This window comes from Homo sapiens, chromosome 4, assembly GCF_000001405.40.
Source record: "Homo sapiens chromosome 4, GRCh38.p14 Primary Assembly".
NCBI classification, from domain to species: Eukaryota; Metazoa; Chordata; class Mammalia; order Primates; family Hominidae; genus Homo; species Homo sapiens.
The window spans coordinates 137,942,170-137,955,986 of NC_000004.12; the positions used below are offsets into that span (position 1 = coordinate 137,942,170).

Genomic DNA, 13,817 nt, shown 5'->3' on the forward strand with positions numbered 1-13,817 from the left:
CAGCCAGCCCTGCTGGCCCCAGGCAATGGGGGACTTAGCACGCGGGCCAGTTGCTGCGGAGGGTGTACTGGGTCCCCCAGCACTGCCGGCCCACCAGCGCTGTGCTCGATTTCTCGCCGGGCCTTGGCTGCCTTCCCACGGGGCAGGGCTCGGGACCTGCAGCCCGCCATGCCTGAGCCTCCCACCCCCTCCGTGGGCTCCTGTGCGGCCGGAGCCTCCCCGACGAGCGCCACCCCCTGCTCCACGGCGCCCAGTCCCATCGACCACCCAAGGGCTGAGGAATGTGAGCTCACAGCGCAGGACCGGCAGGCAGCTCCACCTGCAGCCCCGGTGCGGGATCCACTGGGTGAAGCCAGCTGGGCTCCTGAGTCTGGTGGGGACTTGGAGAGTCTTTATATCTAGCTCAGGGATTGTAAATACACCAATCAGCACCCTGTGTTTAGCTCAAGGTTTGTGAGTGCACCAATCGACACTCTGTATCTAGCTGCTCTGGTGAGGACGTGGAGAACCTTTATGTCTAGCTCAAGGATTGTAAATACACCAATCGGCACTCTGTATCTAGATCAAGGTTTGTAAACACACCAATCGGCACCCTGTGTTTAGCTCAAGGTTTGTGAGTGCACCAATCGACACTCTGTATCTAGCTGCTCTGGTGGGGCCTTGGAGAACCTGTGTGTGGAAACTCTGTATCTAAGTAATCTGATGGGGACGTAGAGAACCTTTGTATCTAGGGCAGGGATTGTAAACGCACCAATCAGCGCCCTGACAAAACAGGCCACTGGGCTCTACCAATCAGCAGGATGTAGGTGGGACCAGATAAGAGAATAAAAGCAGGCTGCCCGAGCCAGCATTGGCAACCCGCTCGCGTCCCCTTCCAGACTGTGGAAGCTTTGTTTTTTCGCTTTTTGCAGTAAATCTTGCTACTGCTCGCTCTTTGGGTCCAGGCTGCTCTTATGAGCTGTAACACTCACGGCGAAGATCTGCAGCTTCACACCTGAGCCCAGCGAGACTACGAGCCCACCCGGAGGAACGAGGAGCTCCAGACGCGCTGCCTTAAGAGCTGTAACACTCACCGCGAAGGTCTGCAGCTTCACTCCTGAGCCAGCGAGACCACGAACCCACCAGAAGGAAGAAACTCCGAACACATTTGAACATCAGAAGGGATAAACTCCAGACGTGCCACCTTAGGAGCTGTAAACCTCACCGTGAGGGTGCGCGGCCTCATTCTTGAAGTAAGTGAGACCAAGAACCCACCAATTCCAGACACAATAACATACAAAAATCAATCTGAGTGGATTAAAACAATGTAAAAATAGCCATACAGTTACTAAAGATAATATAGAATGTGTGTATCTGATATAAGGAAGAAAATATTTGTTAAATAAATGTAAAAACATGTAAAACAAAAATTTACAAGTCCCATTACATTAAAAATTAGGACCAATGTTCATGAAAGACAGGCCAAACGTGGGGAAGACACTTGTGTGACATGAAAAAGGATTGTGATACAGAAAGTTTAATTGTTAAAACTCTATAAATAGAGCAGGGGGCACTCGGGTGGGGAAAAATAACTATAAATAAATAAGAAAAAACAGATAACTCCCCAGAAAGATGCAAAAGGATAGATACTTCAGAGAATAGAAAACACAAATGACCAATAAATACATGAAACATGTCTACATGTCTTATATTATGAGCTTTCAAAGACCTTCAAGTTAAAACCATAATGTTATTATTACACAGTAAGCTAGATTTCAAGTTTTCACAAGATGAAATAGTGGCAAAGATGTAGAGCATCTGGAACTCTTAAATAAAGCTAATAAAATGTAAAATGGTACAACTACTTGAAAATCAATTATGCCCTTATCTATTAAGGTGATTCTATACATGCCTTACAAGCCAGGAATTAAACTTTTTGATATACACCCAAGAGCTACAAGATACATACAAAAATGTTAATCATGGCAATATTTGTAATAACAAACCAAAAATTACAAAATATATATCCAAAGCAAAATAAAATATGTTGTATTATGAAATTATACTATTTAAAAATGACAAAAAATTAAATACGTAGTAGCATGAATGAAATTTAGAAACAAGTGAAAAAGCAAATTCTAGACTAGTGCATTATAGTGATTTAATTAATATAAAATTTTAAATAATATATTGTCAATATTGTTTCTAAATGTCATCATTTATGAAACAAATGCCACAAGTTCGTCACTCTAAAGAGCATTTCCCAGAGGTGAGGTCTGAAGAGGCTAGTCTTCATAGTGGAGCTTACTGAGGTGCACGCTTCTGTTGGGTACATCAACTCAAACACATTACCTACCTGCTGGAAAACTGAGTCCTTAAAATAGCCTAGACATATATAGATGAGCTTTTCCAGTGGTGTGTACCCTTAGGTATACAAGAGAAATACTTCGGGAGTTTTAAAAAATTTTAATGATCGGGCCACACATCAGCCAATTAAACCAGGATCCTTGGGGATGAGACCCAGAAAGCCCTACGTTTTAAAATTTTACCGTGATTTTCCAAGATGCAGCCAAGGTTGAGAACCATTATGTTACAGCAAGTCTTTATCACTTTCTCCTGAAAAATTGAATGCTTCGTGTGAATGTAATTTTACTCAATCCTGAATAAACTCGTCTGCCTAGTATTGATGGTCTGCAATCTCTTAAGTTATATATATATATATATATATATATATATATATATATACATACATACATACATACACACACACAGGTTAAGGTAAAACCTTTGATGTATATGTATAAAGACCAGAGCAAGAATAAACCACTGTGGAACCTATGGTTTAACATGAGGTTAAAATCCTCTGTGTTGATTCACACAACTGAGGAAGATATCAGTCAAAAGTATTACATCATTAAGCACTTTCCTAATTAAAAGAGAACTGCATGATCACTTTATATGCATCAAATTACTTATAATTTACAGTGATATTTAAAGGTAACATTTACTCCATATCTATGAGAAGTACACCTAATGGATAGAAAATGAGTTGTTTTTATTTCATTTCATAAGTGAGAAAATCCATATAAACTATTAAATTAAAAACAAAAGCAATTCACAGAGAAGAATTTCTTACTGAAACATTTTATTTTCCTTACTGATATGATATCATTACCAGAACATAAGTTCCTAATTAGGCTATACAGTAATAATCAAAAGTCTCTAAGCACCAACTATAAATATACGAATTCTTAGATCTCTACATTTTAAAAACAAGCTCATTTCCTTTACTTAAATTGTAAAAAGTTGGCTATGATTTTCCTCAAGACATTCATGTTCTTATTTCATAGCACTTTCAAAAAGGTTGATTAAATTGTTACTTTTAACTATAGATTCACAAAGTTTTAGGCATTTTTATTATTAGTTCATTTTCTGAAATTGAAGTATTTTTCAAGCTAATTTTTTATATAAATGTGTAAGCCCTAGCTCAAATATTTGTATTTATCATTCACTTTCGGGACTTTTTTTCTCTGCTGTATTGTTTTAATCCTCATCTTTATATCGTCTATATGTTGAGAGGCAAAAATTATCAATTATTGTTAGTTTCACAGTGAAAAACTTGTCTTAGTCTATCCGTGTAGTGATTTTGAGAATTATTAATAAACATAATTATCTCTTTTATAAAAAAAGAAGTATAAGAATGTTTAGAGACACAAAGAAGACAGATCTTAACTATATTAAGAAACGGAAAAAATAAAGAATTGAAAAAGAATTATGGAGGCATACAAGTTTCAAGGGATAGTTCCCAATGTAATTGGTAGATGCGATTTTCCATTTACTCAAAGGCACGTGGACCCAAACTCTATATAAAATCTACATAGGTTATTGGCAGGAAAATTAATATATTTGGGTGAATTAAGGTAGAACTAGGCTAGATTGGGTCAAATATTGTAGATAATGAACAGGATTGATTAAAAACTGATCTTGCAAAACCCATAATAAAATATATGCATTATATTAATAAAACAACTGAAGAGATAATTTATACATGCTGTGAATGTACACTCAGGTGCCCTTTACCTGGCTAATGTACGCATATCCAGCTGTGGATGTGGTTTGCTAATTTCTGATGGCTGTCGCCTTCCCTAGAGAATTGGCTTGTGCCAAAAGGGAGATGCCTTGAAATATAAATCGGGCTCCAGCATCTCCTTATTAGTAATTCAACTAATGCGAGATTTTTTTAAAAGACTGCCCCACCTCCTTCACTCCCTTCCCCTCACTAGCCTCAAAGCTGGACTAACTCTGTGGTATAATTTACCTTTGGAGGTTCCCTTGGGGATCAGGATAAAGGTACATTCTTACTTAACATTTTTACCCTGCCCTATCTCACTTTTCTACTCTTCTTCTACTGAAGGCAGTCTCCTATGAGTAAATGATCAGAAATCTTCCATGATGAGTAAGAACTCAGGCTCTTTATCTGCAGAGCCTAAACTTAAGACAGATGATCTCTTCCCATTTCCTCCCTAGTTCCTCAGTGAGGTGCTCTTGAAGTTCTGTAGTCTTAGCAACCTGCATGGAGGGAGGGATGTGCCAGTTAAAAGGAAGTCTAAATTAATGGTTCATTTGGTTTCTTGTAAGTAACTATGAACAAGGTCATGTCAGCACTCCAGGATCTATTTTTTCACCATATAAGGAAAACATAAATTGCATATTTCTACATTCAATATTTCTCTCACATCATAAGGCTGAGAGTAGTTTTGGTGAAGTGGGCCTGGTCATATTCTTGCAAGATCCTACCCTTGATTGTGAGCATGGGTGTTGGCCCTTGTATTCAATCAACCTCTCACTCTTCATGGCAGCAATACATTTCCATTGTGCATTATGGGACTCTTTTGGCTTGTAAGACTATTGAAGTGACTGACTGTTTTACCTCACAGTCCTCAATTATAAAGTTGTAAATATCTGGCCTGCTCTCACCAGACAGCTTCCCGAGTTTTATTTTTCAAACTTTACTCTGTAGGACTCACTGACAAGATTATGTTCTTATGGTTCCACATCCCATGAAGAGGGCATAGCCAGTCTCAGGTTGGTGATGGCTTACGACCAGGAAGATTTTCAACAGAAAAGTAGACTCAATATGTTCAACCACACAGTTGAAAATACCAGGCCCAGTGGGGCAATATCTAATAGAGGAAGTTTCTCAGCAAATGCACTCCTCTTGCAGCTAGTTTAACCTACAAATGCAACTTATCTCTCTCTTTTCATCTCTTGGAATTCATTCAATGCACCTACCTGTCTGGCCTGGTTTCAGCCTAGGAGTATAAACAATGGCCATGCTAACTTAAACCTTCACTTCTCAAGGCTAGTGTTTCTGGCATGCTCCCTTCTCTTGGAATTTTTGAGTATAACAAACTGTCTTTTCAATAGCAATTATTTCCTGACCTATTGGTCTTGTCTAAACAATAAAAACTTTGAAAGAGTAGCCTGGCCTTTACTGCTGCCAGTATAATGAACATGATGGCTTATTTAATTCATAAAAATTAGCTGTGCCACATCTTCCTTGCTTTTGTTTTTTGTGTGTTTTGTTTTTTTTTCTTACCAGATTTTATTTTAGGTTCAGGGTATACGTGCAGGTTTGTTATATGGGTAAATTGCATGTTGTGGGGGATGGGTGTACAGATAATTTTGTTATTCGGGTAATAAGCATGGTACCCAATAGGTCATTTTTTAATCCTCACCCTCCTGCCACCCTCCACCCTTAAGTAGGCCCCACTGTCTATTGTTTTCTTCTTTATGCCTAAGTGTACTCAATGTTTACCTCCCACTTTTAAGTGAAGCATGCAGTATTTGGTATTCTGTTAATTGATTTAGGATAATGACTTCCAGCTTCATCCATATTGCGACAAAGCTCTTCTTTATATGTCTGGTAGAATTTAGCTGTACATCCATCTCTTCCAGGGCTTTTCTAGTCAGTAGGCTTTTCATTAATGATTCAATTTCAGAACTTGTTATTAGTTGGTTCAGGGTTTCAGTTTCTTCCTGTTTCAATCTTGGGAGGCTGTGTACTTCTAGGAATGTATCCATTTCTTCTAGGTTTTCTAGTTTGTGTTCATAGAAGTGTTCATAATAGTCTCAGGTTTTTTGTTTTGTTTTGTTGTAATTCTGTGGGGTTGGTGGTGATGTCCGCTTTGTCATTTCTGATTGTGTTTATTTGGGTCTTCTCTCCTTTTTTCTTTATCAGTCTGGCTTGCATGATCCTGTCATCGTGTCTTATTTATTCTTTCAAATAATCATGTTTTGGTTTTGTTTATCTTTTTTATGTTTTTTATGTATCTCAATTTCATTCAGTTCAGCTCAGATTTTGATTTTCTTTTCTTCTGCTAGCTTTCAGGTTGGTTTACTCTTGTTTTCCTAGTCCCTCTAGGTGTGATGTGAGGTTGTTAATTTGAGATCTTTAACTTTTTGATGTGGGTGTTTAGCTATAAACTTTCCTCTTAACACTGCTTTAGCTGAGTCTCAGGGATTCTGGTATGTTTTATCTTTGTTTTCATTAGTTTAAAATAATTTCTTGTTTTCTGTCTTCACTTTATTGTTTACCTAAAAGTCATTCAGAAGAAGATTTTTTAATGTAATTATATGATTTTGAGAGATCTTCTTAGTACTGATTTTTATTTTTATTGCACTGTGGTCCAAGAGTGTGGTTGACATAATTTCAGGGTTTTTAAAAAATTCATTGAGAATTGTTTTATGGCTGATTCTGTGATCAGTTTTAGAATATGTGTCAAGTGCTGATGAGAAAAATATATATTCTGTTGTTTTTGGGTGGAGAGTTCTGTAGATATCTGTTAAGTTCATTTGCTCAAGCATCGGAGTTCAGTTCCTGAATATCTTTGTAAGTTTTCTGACTCAATGATCTCTCTAATATTGTCAGTGGGGTGTTAAACTTTTCTACTATTATTGCATGCTTATCTAATTCTCTTAGTACTTCTCTAAGAGCTTGCTTTAGTGAATCTGGGTGCTCCAATATTGGGTGCATATATATTTAGGATAATTAAGTCTTCTTGTGAATCAAGCCCTTTATCATTATGTAATGCCTTTCTTTGTCTTCTTTGGTCATTGTTGGTTTAAAGTCTGTTTTGTCTGAAATTTGAATAGCAACCCCTGTTCTTTGTTTTTCATTTGCATGGTAGATTTTTCTCCATCTCTTTACTTTGAGCATATGGGTGTCATTGCATGTTATATGGGTCTCTTGAAGACAATATACAGTTGGGTCTTTCTTCTTTATTCAACTTACCACTCTGTGCCTTTTAAGTGGGGCATTTAGCTAATTTACATTCAAGGTTAATATTGATATGTGCATATTTGATCCTGTCATCATGTTAACTGGTCGTTATTCAGACTAGATTGTGTAGTTTTTTTATAGTGTGTCAGTAGTTACGTTTTGTGGTGGTCAGTGACAGTGATTTTTTTTCCCATGTTTAGCATCCCTTTAAGGACCTATTGTAAAGCAGGTCTAGTGGTAACAAATTTCCTTGGCATTTACTTATCAGGAAAGGATCTTTTTTCTCCTTTGCTTATGAAGCTTAGTTTGGCTGGATATGAAATTCTTGGTTGTCATTTCTTTTCTTTAGCACTGCTAAATACAGGCCCCCAATATCTTTTGGCTTATAGGGTTTCTGCTGAAAGGTCTGCTGTTAGCCTTATGGGTGACCTGCCCCTTCTCTTTAGCTGCCTTTAATATTATTTCTTTCACATTGACCTTGGAGAATCTGATGACTGTGTGTCTTAGGAATGGTCTTCTTGTGTAATAACTCAGAGGGATTCTCTGCATTTCCTGAATTTTAATGTCAATATCTCTAGCAAGATTGGGGAAATTTTCATGGACAATGCTCTCAAATATGTTTTCCAAGTTGCTTGTTCTCTTTCCCTCTCTTTCAGGGATGCCAGTGAGAACTAGGATTGGTTTCTTTACATAATTCCATATTTCTCAGAGGTTTTGTTCATTCTTTTCTTTTTTCTTTGTTTTTGTCAGATTGAGTTGACTTCAAGAATCGGTCTTCGAGCTTCTTTCCTCAGCTTGGTTGATTCTGCTGTTAATACTTGTGAGTATATTCTAAAGTTCTTGAAGCAAGTTTTTCAGCTCTATCTGATCAGTTTGATTCTTCTTAAAATGTCTGCTTCATCTTTCAACTCTTATATTGTTTCAGTGGATTCCTTAGATTCCTCAATTGGGTTTTGACTTCCTCCTGAATCTCGAAGATCTTCGTTCCTATCCAGAATCTAAATTCTTTATCTGTCATTTCAGCCTGGTTAAGACCCATTGCTAGGGAACCAGTGTGGTCATTTGGAGGTAAGAAGACACTCTGGGTTGAGTAAGAAGACACTTTTGATTTGTCAGAGTTCTTGCATTTTTTCTTTCTCACCTGTGCGGGCTGACATTCCTTTAATCTTTGAAGCTGCTGTCCTTTGGATAGGGCTTTTGCTTCTATATTCTTTGATGCCCTTGAGGGTTTGTCTGTGGTATAAGGTCTATTCAGTGATTGGCTTCATTTCTGAAAATTTTCAGAGTGGCAAGGATCAGCCCAGCACTCCTGGGATTCATGCTCTAATCCTGGGGAGCTGGTACAAGACCCAGGGCTTTGTTCCCTGACCCCTGTCAATGCAGACCTATCTGTCTGGCCTGGTTTCAGCCTAGGAGTATAAACAATGGCCATGCTAACTTAAACCTTCATTTCTCAAGGCTAGTGTTTCTAGCAGGCCCCCTTCTCTTAGAATCTCTGAGTTTAACAAACTGTCTTTTCAATAGCAATTATTTCCTGAACTACTTGTCTTGCCTAAATAATAAAAACATCAACACAGACCTTAAGTATGATAAAGAAACATTTACAATCTATTTTTCTCTAAAGCCTGCTATCTGGAGGCTTCATCTGCACTATAAAACTTTGGTCTCTATATACCCTTATCATAAGCCAGACATTCCTTTCTATTGCTTCCAGGTCTTTATATAATAACTTGACTCTTTCAATCAATTGCCAATCAGAAAATCTTTAAATCTACCTATGACCTGGAAACTTCTGCTTCAAGTGGTTCTGCCTTTTCAGATCGAACCAATGTACATCTTACATGTATTGATTGATGTATTATCTCTCCCTAAAATGTATGAAAGTAAGCTCTACCCAGACCACCCTGAATACATGTTGTCAGGACAACCTGAAGCTGTGTCACAGGTGTGTCTTTAACCTTGGAAAAATAAACTTTCTAAATTGATTGAGACCTGTCTCAGATACTTTGGGGTTCACATTACATATTTGCTATTATATATATTTGCCATGTTACATATTGTGAAATGAAAATAGTAATTTCAGAAAAATACACGTGTGGTTCTATTAAAGTAAAAATAAATAAAACTGAAATATACTTAGTAAGCAGAATAAGATTCACATAAATAATGACCAACTAATAATATTATTTGAATAAAACAGTGAGATTTAGGGAGGGAAAAAACAAATGTTCTGGCTGGGCGTGGTGGCTAATGCCACTAATCCCAGCACTTTGGGAGGCTAAGTCAGGTGGATCACTTGAATTCAAGAGTTTGAACTCAACATGAGACAGGGTAGAGACAGGGCAACGTGGAGAGACCCTGTCTCTACTAAAAATACCAAAAAAACCTGGGTGTGGTGGTGTGCACCTGTGGCCCCAGCTACTTGGGAGGATCATTAGAGCCTGGGACCGAGGTTGCAGTGAGCCAAGATCACACCACTGCATCCCAGCCTGGGTGACAGTAAAAGACCCCTGTCAAAAAAAAAAAAAAAAAAAAAAGAGAAGAAAGAAAGAGAGAGGGAAAGGGAGAGGGAGAAAGAGAAGAAAAGAAAAAAAAGTTCTACTGTTACTTTCTATCTTTGAAATTTTAAGTTCTTAGGTAATTATAAATGCACACATGCATCCATGTATATAGTGAAATAAAAACGGCCACAAATTTTTTGACAGCCCTCCCTTTGACAGATGGCATTTGTATACCTTCCCATTGAAACAGGGTGGGCTTTGTCTGTTGGGCTGCACTGACCAATAGAACATGTGGCTCTGATTGTGAAACATTTTCCAGGCTCAGGTTTTAATAGACTGTCCTCTTCCACTTCTGCTGACTTGAACACTCTCGTGATGTTGCCTCTAGGAACCCAGCCAGCATGCTTGTGAGAAGCATGCCTGAGTCCTAGAGAGTCAATAGTCTCTGATGAATGCCACCCAACAGTCAATATCAACTGAAAGCCATCTGCGTGAGCCATCTCAGTCCAGTCAAGCTATCAACATGACTGCAGCAGCACTGGAGACTGCAAGAAAGAATTGCCCAGCTTAGGCCAGTCAACACACAGGATTACAAAAGGTAATTATAAATTATTGTTTCAAGTCACTGAGTTTTTGGATAACAACAAATAAAATGAGCAATGTAAGTTGGATAACCTTTATCCAAAACACTTGGGACCAGAATTGTTTCAGATTTCGGATTTGTTTTTTTGGATTTTAGAATATTTGCACAGACATAATAAGATATCTTGGGGATGAAACCAAAGTCTAAAAACAAAATTTGCTTATGTTTCATATATACTTTACACACATAAGCTGAGATAATTTTATACAATACTTTGAATAATTTTGTACATGAAGCAAAGTTTGTACTAAGTACTTATGTATGGAATTTTCTACTTTTAACTTCATGTTGGTACTCAAAAAGTTTCAGATTTTGGAGCATTTCGGATTTCAGATTATTGTATTATGCATGCTCAATATGTACATGCAATATGCCTTAAAACACGCAGAAGTATACCTACAACTTAAAATAATAAGGAATTCAAAATGTCAAATCTGTACATCTGGAGACATTTAATAAACATATGTCAACATTTTAAAATAGTAATTAATCTTCATTTATTAACACAATCCTTGACATGTAGAAGGTGTTTTGTAAATATGTTAAAACATAGACACAGGCAAGCTGTAGGGTCAAGGAAAGCTTAAAAGAGGGAAGAATATTGAATCTAGGTGAAAATGATAGATATATTTTCTCCAGAGCTCTTCAGGATCCCTTCAACAACTCAGAATTTGCACATTTTATTACTTTTATTTCACAGGAGTTTTGTTGCAAATGCCCATTTCTTATGGTTAATATTTTACTTAACCAAAGAAAGGGAGACAGAAACAAACATGTTATGCTCCTTTACCTTCAATAGGCCCAGAAACTACACATGAGTAGATGTACATAAGCATAAAAATGTTTTGTATAAAATTATGAAAATGTTTTTAAGACAAAACCTGGAGACACAAATGGAAAATGTGAACTAAAGGTAGAATTCTTCTTTGTTAAAGGCCATATAATAGCCTTGATATTGTGAGACTGAATAATAGTATAAATTTTAGTCAAATGGCAGAAGGTTACCTCCCATAGAGTCAAGAGGCTCATCTAAAATAGGAGTTTTGAGTATCAGAATCTTTTCTTAGCTGCCTAAGTAATTGCAAATATATAATTGTATTTCCAGATTGTTACGATTCAAAATGACCTATTTTTTAAATATTGAAATTGAGAGAATTCTAGATGAGAAATATTGGGGAAGATGAAGAGAGGTACAGAGTACAGAAGAGGAGCATGACCCTGAGGTCCCTGGAATGGCTTTCTGTTTAGGGCATGCAATCTAATGGCCATCAATGAAACAGTAAATAAGGGCAATCCATAATATCAGTACTGAGGTAAATTACTGTCAGTCTACAAAGAGAGGGCCACACATATGTGAAAGAAAACCTAAACACTTCTGCACCTAGATATACAAAGCAGCTTGTCTCAGTCCAACACTTCTATCAAAAACAACCATAATCATTGAGTAAAATAGAAATAAAACAAAGTAGAAAACAACGAAAAACACAGATTTTAGATGACATTACAAAGCAATCAAGGTAGCAGAATTTGAGGATCAAAATCTCGTAGAAAAGATAAATTTACTGAAGTGAACCTTCCATTTTCCTTTCCATGCATCAACAGAAGAAGAATCTAAAAAGAAAGTGGCATCTAAGAAACAAAAAGTTAGGCAGAACTTTCAGCAGTCTCACAGTACTGGGAAAGAATTATGCCAATTTGGGCTACAGAGCAGCCAGGATTTGTGGGTTATGACCCTAGGCAAAAGGGGCAAGAACAGAGAAGGGAGAGAAGACAATATTCTGAGCTTTATTTCCCCTTGAGATTTGCTTATTCTAAAGTTTCATGGGATGAGAAGCTGAGAAGATAGGAAGAGTGGAAGCTGAGAAATGTAAAACCTAGGCAAAACTTCTAGTGATCTCACACTGCTAGGAAGAAAAAGATCGAAGTCGGGTTTTTAGACAGAAAGTTGGGATTATGATGGCATGCTTTCAGTTGAGACTCAAGAGGGAAAATTCACATGCATTACTAGTGGGGGTGTCAATTTTTTTCAATGACCTTGCAAACATTTTTGTGTTGCTTCGGAGAGATTTTGCTCTAAAATTGCATTCAGGGACCCAGGTTGTTACTGGCCCCGTCATCTTCAAAATGTGGCTTTCAAGTGTAATACATCACTTATTCCATTGCACATGGAGTAAAACAGATTGCAAAGAGAAAATAAAAGTTTTATGGCCCAGGTCTCAGAAGTGGTCGTCACTTGCAACTACATTCCGTTGTCCAGAAATTAGTCATATGACCACATTTTACTACAAGGGGAATTTACTCTAGCTCTGAACCTGGGAGACAGGTACATAATTCGATAACCTAGAACGTCTCTTTCAAACCCCATTTCTCATCATTTACACACATATAAAATAGCATACCTTGAATACCTTGAACAACGCAGACATAGAAATTGCTTAATAGATACTTTGCATTTTAATTTTATTTGACTTTGTACAAGTAAAATTACTCTATGAACACCAATCTCTTAGAGCAGGCAGTTGCAATATACTAAAATAACAACTTTCTAGGCTTAAAATATTTTCCTCAGTTTTTTGCTGATTTATCAAGAAAATTTAATAGGAACTCCTTTGGTTCTCACATTACGTACACCAGTGATAAATTTGTTACCAAAGAAAGGAAACTCTACAAGTTGAGAAACTAATGATATAAGAAGCTATTAAAGATTGTAAACTGCTGTGTACGATAGATATTCACAGCTGGTAATGGAAGTTTTAAAATAGAAGTCCTCATGTCATTCTGGTTGGTAACCCTCTGCAAAGCCTCAACAAACTGCTTTGTGATTTATATCTAATTTGAATATGCCATAAACTCCCCAAGCAGTTACTTTTGAGAGAAATTTCCATTTTCCTTGAATTTTTCTTTCTATGCTTTTGAAATTTACTCACTAGCGTTTAAGAATAAACTTAAACCTGAGGATGCACTTCTAATCACAGTGTCTTCTAATACGATTTTCCAGGAAGATTAGAATGTGCTCTCTGCACAGGCATTAACTTATCAAGGTTTATTTTGGCAATCAGGGAACTGCTAATAAGCTCAAGAAGAGGTCATGATTAAGCAAGAAATTTATTGATTCCTGGTGTCCTCCATTTATCATGAAATTTACATTATAAATTTCATGATTGTACATAGAAACATGTTTTGCAATATTTACCTTGCCTTTGGCAGAGTTTAAACAAGATTTGAGAATTGCTCATTTATTTTATCAGCCCTTGACTCAATTCTTAACTCTCTAACTTACGTTGTTTGTTCAATTAATGTTGAGAGGTCAGCAAAATAAGGAAATAAAACACTCAGCTAACATTTGGTAACTTAGCCAATATGTGTTAGGCACTCTTTTCTTTACATATATTGTCTTAGTTAATTTTAATTC

General features: G+C 37.1%; 1 long non-coding RNA gene across 1 annotated transcript; it reads left to right on the forward strand.

Annotated features, from left to right (window-relative positions):
* The first annotated feature begins 852 nt into the window (after positions 1 to 852).
* On the forward strand, positions 853 to 10,885 carry LOC107986315 (uncharacterized). The gene is made up of 3 exons (XR_001741843.2): positions 853 to 1,232; positions 8,012 to 8,081; positions 10,151 to 10,885. It is a non-coding gene; the product is annotated as an uncharacterized LOC107986315 (long non-coding RNA).
* Positions 10,886 to 13,817: the final 2,932 nt, after the last annotated feature.